This window comes from Homo sapiens, chromosome 4, assembly GCF_000001405.40.
Source record: "Homo sapiens chromosome 4, GRCh38.p14 Primary Assembly".
Classification (NCBI taxonomy): domain Eukaryota; kingdom Metazoa; phylum Chordata; class Mammalia; order Primates; family Hominidae; genus Homo; species Homo sapiens.
The window spans coordinates 77747350-77759545 of NC_000004.12; the positions used below are offsets into that span (position 1 = coordinate 77747350).

The window sequence follows — 12196 nt, forward strand, 5'->3', positions numbered from 1 at the left end:
TAGAGATGGGGTTTCACCATGCTGGCCAAGCTAATCTTGAACTCCTGGCCTCAACAGATCTGCCCGCCTTGGCCTCCCAATGTGCTGGGATTACAGGCATGAGCCACAGTGCCCAGCCAAAATCTATTAATGTAGTACTATTCTGTGACTGGTTTAATCTTCATATCCAAACACTTAGAATTTTCATTTAATTTTAAAATGAAATTAGATATCATGAAAATTATTACTCTTGTGATTAAAAAAAAGACATTTCGAAAAACGGTAATTCATAACTTATTTTAAGTAGAATTCCCAAGCCTAAAATGTCAAATATGAAGAAGCTTTATAAATGTCAAACCATTATTGGTCCCTGCAAACAGATAAAGGCTTATGTTTTCTACATTACTTCAGTTCTAGAAATGCTAGATTATATCCTTATATTGCTCAAATACTATGTACTACTTCTACACCCCTGGGCTGGTATTATACTTTGTTGCCAGTATAGTAAATATATGTCTAGTCTACATTATTCTTCCATAAATGTTATCTATCTCTCAAGAAAGATCAAGTACTTCTCAGTAGTTTAAAATTTTTCACAAGAAATATCATTGTTCTCATTTTTCTTAAATCACCCAATACTCTCTATGAAGATGCCATTTGGAAAGCTGTATTATAGAAATAATTTTAAAACCAAGGGCTGCATTACTTAAATCTTAAATCACCCAATACTCTCTATGAAGATGCTATTTGGAAAGCTGTATTACAGAAATAATTTTAAAACCAAGGGCTGCATTACTGTGAAAGATATAAGACACCTATTGACAGGTCTATCTTAATGTGGACTTTTTAAAAGTCTATCCATCAGTATTTTTAAATGCATCTACCCATGAAAGGTAAAAATGAAGTCTTATTTATTACAGATCATGAAGCCCAAATAACATTTTAAGAATTTCTGAAAAAAAAGGAAGAATAAGAAAAACTATTTACCTGACGGCAGAATTTGGTCTCGTTCTTTTAATGTAATCCATGGCCTCGGAGGAAGCTGCTCTGGATGAACTGAAAAAAATTTTGTAAATATAGGTTAATTTCATGTGTTTCTGAAATCTGAAATGTGTTTATAATGTCAAAAACACTTCTGTTTTCTATTCTGCTGTAACGGCCTGCAAACTGACTTAATCTAATGCTGAAATTTAATGAAGATTAAGGAGCCAAAGGAAATTTCAGAAAAGCTATGCAGAGAACACAGAACTAATACAAGAAAATAACATTAGGAAATTCATTAATGGCATTTTCACTTACATGGTATTTACGAAAAGTACCTATTTAAAACCCTATGTAAAATCTTAAGTTTCTAATTATATATGTAAATTGTATTGACTTAGCCTTGTGGGAAATCAAAGCCATCTGAAATTCCAACCCTGATGAATTAAAATACTCAAACATCTTTAAAACAGAAAAAAGTACATATGGATGTATTAAAGTTAGTGAATTTTCTAGTGGGGCCTTCATTTTCTGATTTTACTCTTTTATAATGTCAGCACAAAACAAGAGATAAGGATAGAACCACATTATGCAGAAAAAAGGTAGGCACTTGTTAGACATTAATTGCTCAGATATGGTTATCAATACTATGGAACTAAATGCTACCTAACTACCAGATGAGTTAAGATTTAACTACCCCCTTTTCTTTTCCTTTCAAAATCTTTGAAATTACAGTACAACTTGATTCAAGTTTGCAGATTTGCCCATGGCATTAATGGCTGAGAAATGTATTCCCTTAAAACAACACTCCATCTTTATCTAGCCACAGAAATTTTGACCAAAGTAGCCCAGATCTTTAAAACTGTCACTTTATTAACAGTTTTGGTGTTCTGAAAGTCTACCTATATGATACTCTGTTTTAGCAGCCATACTTTTCACAGAGTAGAATGAACTCTATTTCATATATTCCATATCTTGCCAGGAAAGAAAAGAAGGTTATAAGATGACAGACAAATCATCCAGCTTGTTCAACATACTGAATCCCAGAAAACAATCTTCTGGCTATGTGAGTGCCATGGCAGAGTCACAGCAAGTGTCTCAAAAATGAAAAATCTAATATAGAAACAGAAAGAGTAAACAAAAAAATTTCTAGCTATTGGGATCCTTAATTAGCAAAATCTACCTAAGCTGGCTTGCTTAAAAATTCAGAAATCCAGAAACTTCTAAAATAAAACAGGTAATATAATATCAACATTTTGGTGCTTCCAAATCTTAACTAGTGTATCACAATGTAGCAGTTTAAGTATAACGCAATCAACAATATCCAAAGAGCCAAAAACATAATATGAGCGAATACTCTATCTCACTACTAACCAGCAAAATTAAAAAAGATGAGATGGCATATTTGTTACCCAAGTTCACGCAAAATTTTTAAGTTCAATAACATCCAGGACTGGTGATGGCGATAAACAGCATGTACAGCTGGTAGGAATATAAATTAGTACAGCTATCTTGAGAACAAACTGGCATCTTTTAAAATTTAAAACACCCATGTCCCTATGACTGAGTAAAATTCTATTTCCTGGGATCAGCCCTATCTTCTTTAAGCAGGATTCAAAAAGATATCCATTACAGCATTGTTTATATTAACGAAAGCAATAGTAAATGGCTAAATAATATCCATTTTAAGAAAGTCTATGCTATAGTTTAAAAAGATAAATATGTATTCAAGTGGAAATATATCCATGGAATACTGTTGAGTAAAAAGAAGTAGAAAAAAATAGAATAACAAAATGTGATATATTTTATTTAAAAATGTTTAAACCATACACTAAAAGTTATAGTATAAAATTTCTGCTGGTATAATTTTTGTATGTAAATGCCTACCAGAAAGTAAAAGGATATACACCCAACTCACAAGTATGATTACCTGCATGGAAGGGACTGTGATTAAAAGTAATGATTAAAAGAAATTTTAATCATAACAGGAATTTTAACTTTTTTTACAAAAGGATAATATATTCATGTGAGACATGCATTTAAAGTCAGTTTGTTTTTTTTTGAGACAGTCTTGCTCTGTCACCCAGGCTGGAGTGCAGTGGCGCCATCTCAGCTCACTGCAAGTTCCGCCTCCCGGGTTCACGCCATTCTCCTGCCTCAGCCTCCCGAGTAGCTGGGACTACTGGCGCCCACCACCACACCCAGCTAATTTTTTTTGTATTTTCAGTAGAGACGTGGTTTCACCATGTTAGCCAGGATGGTCTCGATCTCCTGATCTTGTGATCCGCCTGCCTCAGCCTCCCAAAGTGCTGGGATTACAGGCGTGAGCCACTGCACCTGGCCTAAAGTCAGGTTTTTTAAAGATGAAACTACATGGCCAAATGATATCACCAATGATATGACAAAACAAAGAAATAAAGAGTTATATGGGCTACTATCACATACAATAAATAAATATATTGGTGACCCAATCTTCAACAGAGCTCAAGAGAGCCAACCTTCCTCCCCACACCTAACACTGACTGGCAGCACTAGGCCTGATCTGCCTACAGTGCAGGTGTCAGCTGAACCTGAAGAGACAAACCAAATCTACATGCTAAACCTAAACAGGGTAACTGTCTGCTGAAATCACAGATTTAAAAAGCATCAGAAGTCTCCTAACATAATATCCAAAATGTCCAGGGTACAAATAAAAAGCACTGGTCATACCAAGAACCAGGAAAATCACAACTTAAGTGTTAAAAGACCAACAGACACCAACACTGAGCTGAATCAGATGTTGAAATATCTGACAGATTTTAGAACAGCCATCATAAAACTGCTTGAACAAGTAATTACAAATATCCCTGAAAAGAATAGAAAAATCCAGCAAATACAGAGAAATTATTATTTTAAAAGTATCAAATAGATATTATCCAACTGAAAAATACAATAACTTAAATTTTAAAAGTCATTGGAAAGGCACAATAATAAAGATGCCAAAAGATAAAAATCAGTGAACTTGAGAACGAATCAGGAGAACTTAGTCTGAAAAACAAAAAGAAAACAGACTGAAACAAATGAACAGAGCCTGAAAAAACCTGTGGAACTATAATTTTTTAAAAATATCTAGATTAGTATTATCAGAGTTCCAGAAGGACAGGAGAAAGGATGTGGAGCTAAAAAAGTATTCTATGAGAGAACAGGTGAACATTTCCAAATTTATGTGAAAGACTTACACCTAACAAATTTAAGAAGGTGAGTAAACTTCAAATATCAAGAGCCCAAAGAAATCCATGCTAAGACAGATCGTAACTAAACTTCTGAAAACTAAAGAACGAACCTTAAAAACATCAGACAGAAATAGCATATTACCTATAGGACATCAACTCAAATGACACTAGATTTCTTTTAAGAAACCATGAAAGCCTAAGGAAGTGGTACAATATTTTTCAAGGACTGAAAGAAAAGAACTGTCAACTGGAAATTCTGTATCCAGAAAAACTATCCTTCAGAAATCAAGGGGAAATAAAGATGTTAACAGACAAAGGAAAACACTTCCATTGCTAGCAGACCTGCCCTTAAAAAATAGCTAAAAGAGGGCCAGATGCAGTGGATTACACCTATAATCCCAGCACCTTGGAAGGCTGAGATGGGAAGATCACTTGAGGCCAGGAGTTTAAGACCAGCCTGGCCAACATAGTGAGATCCCATCTCTACAAAAATATTAAAAAATTAGCCAGACGTGGTGACGGGAGCCTGTAGTCCCTAGCCACTTGGGAGGCTAAGATAGGAGGATCACTTCAGCCCAGGAGTTGGAGGCTGCAGTGAGCTAAGGAAACTCTCTAAATATCAAGGAAAACAGAAATGGAACACCAAAAAAGGAAAGAACAAGGAATCAGTAAAGTAAATGTGCAGCAAGATAGAAAGTTTGAATAACCATGAATATAAAACACATGAAAATACACCCTAAGTATATGTAATTGAAAAGCTGAAATAACTACAAGAAGAAAGACAAACCTACCATTTTGACATAGCTTTATTGGTAATGAATAAAACCAAAGTAATCATTAAGTACATCTAACACATTCAAACAATATAATGAACAAACAAACTAACATATAGGATACTGCATCTAATGAGAAGAGACATTCTTCTCAAGTGCATACTTAATTACAAAAATTAATCATCTGCAGAGGTAATAAATATTTTTAACATTTAAATTAATCAAGATATGTTCTCTAACCACCATGGAATTAAGCTAGGAACCTATGACAAAGAAAACTGGAAGAACTCCTCTGAAAATAAAGAAACAAGTTTCTAAATGACTCACAGGCCAAGGAAGAAATAAGGGCTATTAGAAAATATGCTGAACTGAATGATAATGAAAATAATACAAACTAAAGCTTGTGAGATACAGCTAAAAGCCACTTTAGAGAAATATTTATACATAAATATATACATAAATATATTTGAGGAAAAAAAAGCAAGACTGGAAATTAAGGCATGTTCACCTTAAGCTAGAAAAAGAATACCAAATGAAACCAGAAGGAAGAAATAAAGAAATTAATAATATTGAAAACAAACATACAATAAAGAAGACCAATGAAGCTAAAAGTTGGTTCTTCTTTTCAAAGAAAATATTAATAAATGCCTGCATAATTTATCATCTGCATAAATTAATATCTGAAATGGAAAAAAGACATCACTACACAACCTATGGATATTAAGACATCATAAAATATTCTGAACAACTTTCGGCCCGTAAATTTGAAGATTTACATAAAATGGGCAAATTTCCAGAAAACACAACTTTCAGAAACTCATAGAAAGAGAAATGGAAATCAGAATAGTACTATAATTATTAAAGAAATTAAATCAGTAATTTAAAACTTCCTACCAGAAAAAAAAAAAAAACCCAGAAAGAAAAAAAAAATTCAACCTTAAATAAATTCTTCCAAACAACAGAAAATAAGGAAATACTTAAATAAATTTTACAAAACCAGTGTAACTTTAATATCACAACTTGACAAGGACACTGAAGAAAAAGAAGTACTGGCCAATTTCAGTCATAAACACAGATGCAAAAAATCCTATATAGGCTGGGCGCACTGGCTCAAACCTGTAATCCCAACATTTTGAGAAGCCAAGGTGAGCTGATTGCTTGAGGTCAGGAGTTCGAGACCAGCCTGGCCAACATGACGAAACCCTGTTTCTACTAAAAACATAAAAATTAGCTAGGCGTGGTGGTGTGTGCCTCTAATCCCAGCTACTCAGGAGGCTGAAGCAGGAGAATCGCTTGAACCTGGGAAGTGGAGGTTGCAGTGAGTCGAGATCATGCCACTGTACTCCAGCCTGGGTGACAGAGCATAACTCCATCTCATAAAAATAAATAAATAAATAAATAAATCCTAAATAAAATATTAGCAAACTGAATCTAGGGTATAAAAAGATAATAATTTATCATAATCTTGTTGGCTTTATTCTAGGAATACCAAAGGTGGTATAACATACAAAAAAACCATCAATATAATTACCATATTAAAGGATAAAAATAATCTACTCATCTTAATAAAGAAAAGCATCTGATAAATTTCAAAATCTACTCATGTTAAAAAAAAAAAAAAAAAACTTGCCTAGCAAACCAGGAATAGAAAAAACTTCCTTCATCTGATGAAGTTTATCTATACAAAAACTACAGTGAATATGATACTTAATCAAAAATTATGAAATTAGACAAGGATGCCCATTATCACCACTTTTAGCTAGTTAGTGCAGTAAGAGCAGGTTGGCAAGAAAATTAAAAGGATTAGAAATGGAGTAATACAACTCTCATTACTTGCAGATGACATAATTGTATACATTAAAATAAAAAATGCATTAGCATTAAAAACTATTTAGCAAAGTGGTTGAATATGTTCTTTAGCAAGGCATTTAGTGTTTAGGAAGATGACTGAATACCAAAAAATATACAAAACTCAATTGTATTCCATTAATCAGTAACAACCATTAAGTTAGATAAATCTTTAAAATGACTATTTTTAAGCGAATTAAGAAGTTAGTATTTAGAATAAATGTAATACAATATGGGCAAGCCCACTACATAGAAACTTAAAACTACTGAGAGAAATTATAAAAAGCGTAACAAATAGAATAGGATCCACTGTTGTAAACATATCAATTATTTCCAAAGCCATCTATAGATTCAATATAATCCCAAATAAAATCTCTACATTTTAGAGAGGGGAGAGATTTAAAAACCTCGTTCTAAAAATTTTAATAAAAATACAAGGTAAAAGAACACAGATGCCAGAACTAGCCAAAATTCTTTAGAATAGGTCAAGGGGGAAGACTTACTCTACTGGATCTCAAGACTTTTTATAAAGCTGTCCATAATTAAACACTGTTACATTGCTATAAAGACTCATGGAAGAGAATAAAGAATCCAGAAATAGACCTACACATACATTGACACCTGATTTATGACAAAGATGACATTAAAAAACAATAGTGAAAGGACAACCTAATCAATAAATGGCTCAGAGTCAATATAAAATACATATGGAAAAGTCATAAAACCTAATTCTAAACATTAGAAGTAAAAAAAAAAAAAAAAAAAAAAAAACCGGTTTCTAGATAATGACATAGGAGAATATATTCATGATCTTGTGGTATCAAAAAATTCTTAAAAAGGATAAAAGCGGTACCATAACAAAAAAGATCAACAAATTGGACTGGAGTACATTAAAATTTTTCTGTTTGTCAAAAGACAAATTAAGAGAACGAAAAATTTAATAATAGCATGGGAGCACATATTTGCAACATATTACCAAAAAAAAGCTTACATCTAAAACATACAAGAACTCCTTACAAATGACACACACACAGCACACACATATGGCTGGATTGACTGGCTACATCTATAGAGACAAGAGTTTTTTTTTTTTTTTTTTTTTTTTTTTTTTTTTTTGAGACGGAGTCTCGCTCTGTCGCCCAGGCTGGAGTGCAGTGGCGCAATCTCGGGTTCAAGCGATTCTCCTGCCTCAACCTCCCAAGTAGCTGGGACTACAGGCACGTGCCACCACACCTGGCTGATTTTTTGTATTTTTAGTAGAGATGAGGTTTCACCGTGTTAGCCAGATTGTCTCGATCTCTTGACCTCGTGATCTCCCCACTTGGCCTCCCAAAGTGCTGGGATTACAGGCGTGAGCCACCATGCCCGGCCGAGATATTTAATTTTAAAGTAAGTTAGAAACAGCATACACATGCTATGTATACAGCTTCATTAAATTGCCACATATTCCTAATTCTTTACTAAGAACGCCTCTATAATAAATTTGCTGATTTCTATTGATCAACTTTTAGTCTTTTTAGCCATAAACTTTTCAGATAATATTAATTTAGTTTTACCTTATTATAAACCTTACTTTATGTGAAGGAGTGGGGAAGAAGGGCGTCTTACGATAAAGAGAATTTTAAAAGAATATAGCCAAAATGTCATCATGGCCACTATGCTGGAACTTATGATTTTTCTAGCTGTTTCAGAATTCTGTTATTTCAGAAAGACATCATGCTAAGAAAAATATTTGTATGCAGTAGTATCTCCATACTTTTACTCATATTTTCAGAGCTTAGGCAAAAAAAAAAAAAAGTTTTAAATCAAATACCTAATAGTCTTCTTTTTTTGTTTTTGTTTTTAATATATATTTTTTTGAGACAGAGTCACGCTCTGTCACCCAGGCTGGAGTGCAGCGGCACGATCTCAGCTGACTGCAGCCTCTGCTTCCCAGGTTCAAGGGATTCTCCTGTCTCAGCCTCCAGAGAAGCTTGGATTACAGGCACGCACCACCACGCCTGGCTAATTTTTGTATGTTTAGTAGAGACGTTTCACCATGGTTTCACCATGTTGGCCAGGCTGGTCTCAGAACTCCTGACCTCAGGTGATCCGCCTTCCTCGGCCACACAAAGTGCTAGGATTACAAGTGTGAGCCACCACATCCAGCCTGGTATTCTTATAGAAGAAAACTTCCATTTGGAATACAATGATTTTAAATTGTATTTAAATAAATCTGGTGTTCTTAATTTAAAACCTAGCTGCAAAATTTCCACAAACGTGTAATGAATCAAACTAGTCATTTCATTCATTAAAAATGTGTAAAATGTGTGGGTTCCAAGTCATTTGCATCAAATGCAAACAACTAATAACTGTGTATTTTTGTGATTAAGAGCAAGATAATCTTAGATTCACAGCTCTGGCACTGATTAGCTATGTATAAATAAATTACTTTAGTCTCTGAATCTCAGAATTTGCATCTCTAAACTGTGAGTTAAAGTTCCTATGTCCTAGGTTCTTAAACAAAATAATGCAACTAATCTCCTAACATATTGCTTGGTAAATAGAAAACATTCAGTATATGAAAAGAAGAATGTTCCACTAACGTAGGATATACAATGGAAGGAACTCCAAACCCATAGGCAATTATAAAAAACAGTCAGATGCTCTTGAGGAACATATATTAGCTAGTTCATAATATCTGTAGAATTTATTTTACAGCTTTGTCACTAACAGTTACCTGCGAGATTGTCAAGCATGAAGTTCAGTAGCTTTCGGGTTCCATCTGGGTCCTGGTATAAGTTGAGAATATCCTGTGATAAAGGATTGCCTAAAGCAGAAGACAAAAATAAAACCTTTAAAACTTATAACTGCAAGGCAAGACAGAAATGTATACTATAAAATAAAATACTAATTTCTTAAATTCAATTTCTTAAATTGAATTCTACTATATTTAATCTATTATATACATTTAAAAATGTATGTGTAAATAAATATTTTCTTTAAGAACTCTAAAATTTGGGCTTGTCCAAAACATATATACACATATACATAAAAGCATATATATTAATCATAGTCAATTCTGAAGTAATATCACAACCTGGCACCTTGAAGTAATCCTATAGGTTCTACATTAATCTTTGAAAACCTGCATTTATCTTTTAAGACCACAGACAAACTCAAATAGCCATATAGGAGAAAGAATGAGTGATATCTTAAAAAAGAAGGGTCTTCGTAGAATATTTATATTACATATAGGGAAAACAAACGTATTTCAAGTAAGAAGAAAATGTGTTACCAAGATATGTGAGTGAAATGTGAGAAGAAAAGAATTTTGTTATAACAGTAATTAGGAATGTGTGAGTACTAAGAGTACAGATTTATCATACATCAAAGAACACACTATTGGTAACAGACTATATAGTCCCTTAAGAAATAAAGGAGGTATTCATTAAGACAAGCATGCAACAACAGTCTAGCATCCAAATTTGAAAAAATAAAAACCAAAGAACTTCCAAAATTGAAGGTTCTGTTAAATAACAAATCAACCAAACCTTCAATGCAACACATACCCACCAGCACAGCTACAAATTTTTTTGAGACAGTCTCACTCTGTTGCCTGGGCTGGAGTGCACTGGCACAATCTGGGCTCACTGTAACCTCCAGCTTCCGGGTTCAAGTGATTCTCGTGCCTCAGCCTCCCAAGCAGATGGGGACTACAAGTGCCCGCCACCACGCCCACTAATTTTTGTATTTTTAGTAGAGACAAGGTTTTATCATGTTGGCCAGGCTGCTCTTGAACTTCTGGCCTCAAGTGATCCGCCCGCCTTGGCCTCCCAAAATGCTGGGATTACAGGCATGAGCCACTCTGCTTGGCCTAAACAAATTTTTTTAATGACCAACCAAATGTTACAAAGAATGCAGAATACCTTGAACTCTTCTACTTCAATTCAATTACTGGTAAATGGTATGAATACTTTGGAAGTCTGGTTGGTAGTTTCTAATTGACTTGCAAGTGAGAAGAGGAAACTTCCTAGGGTGACGGAAATATTCTATCTTGATTTAGGTGCTGGCTATTAAGGTGTATACCTTTGTCAAAATTAGTGAAACTGGATTTTAAATATTTGGATATTTTACTGAATGTAATTATAACTCCAAGTACTAGGGGGAAAAAACTCTTGATGAATGAGTTAGGCAGCAGATTAGACACAGCTGAAAAGAAAATCAGTCATCAAGAAAAACAGATTCAAAGAAAATTATCCAAAATGCGTCACTGAGAGTCACAAAGATGGAAAACATAAGACAGTAAAAGATACAGAAGTTAGAATACTATATGAAATTGGAGTTCTAGAAAGAAGAACAAGACTTAAGTTCTGATCCAACATGTAAAGATTTTAAAAGCTGTCACTCCTGTCCTCACAATTGAGGTTATAGGACAAACTGCTGTCCCAAACACAAACAAGCAGATACAGAGAATCACAACTTACTGGCAGCAGAAGTCCACAGCTAGAACTAGAACTAGAACACTTTAAAGTGTAACTGACAAATTACTGGAGGCTCCATGTAGATTAGCTTGAGAGTTAAAAACTCCAAGAGGGCCTAGTCTTAGGGCATTCCCACACTTTCCTAAGTTTTACTTCCACGAGTCTTACTATAAAGACTGGAGAAAAATCTCCTCATTCTTCCAAAAGGGGGCAAGAGAAAGTAATGTTCTCCTTAGTAAGTACTATCTTCAAAGGAAACTATTTTACCAGAATCTAAGTTTTCCCAAAGCTTAACAGACCTAGAGTAAGATAAATGCCCTCTCTAGACTTTGACATCAAGTAGGGAAATAGTCAACTCTGGCTCACTAAGGCAGACCTAATTACAGGACTATAGGGCACTTCCTCCCCCTCCGCACCTTACCACTACATCAACACCTACAGCAAACAGTAAACATATTTAACTCCTAGCCAGAAAGAGAGATTAGAGAGAGAAGTGAGAAAAGGCAATATCTGAAGAGGAAAGGCTGCAAATTTTCAAAAACCAGTTTTTTAAATAAATAAACTGATACAAGATGCACAATATATACAAAGAAGTTTATGAAAGGATTTCATTTAAAAACAGATTATAGTGCAAACTAGAAAATGACAAACAGAAGACTTTAAAACGAGATGGGTTGTGGCTGGGCACGGTGGCTCACGCCTGTAATCCCAGCAGTTTGGGAGGCCGAGGCGGGTGGATCATGAGGTCAGGAGAGCGAAACCATCCTGGCTAACACAGTGAAACCCCGTCTCTACTAAAAATACAAAAAATTAGCCAGGCGTGGTTGCGGGCGCTTGTAGTCCCAGCTACTTGGGAAGCTGAGGCAGGAGAATGGTATGAACCCGGGAGGCAGAGCTTGCAGTGAGCCGAGATTGCGCCACTGCACTCCAGCCTGGGCGA

General features: G+C 34.6%; 1 protein-coding gene across 19 annotated transcripts in view; it reads right to left on the bottom strand.

Annotated features, from left to right (window-relative positions):
- Positions 1–12196, bottom strand: part of CNOT6L (CCR4-NOT transcription complex subunit 6 like) — a 106883-nt gene that overhangs the window by 33963 nt on the left and 60724 nt on the right. For all 19 annotated transcript variants that reach the window (NM_001387835.1, NM_001387839.1, NM_001387836.1 and 16 more), the window contains 2 exons: positions 9513–9602; positions 967–1035 (listed from right to left, as the gene is read on the bottom strand). In NM_001387835.1, the coding sequence (NP_001374764.1) occupies positions 967–1035; positions 9513–9602 (159 nt within the window). The remainder of the gene's footprint in view (positions 1–966; positions 1036–9512; positions 9603–12196) is intronic.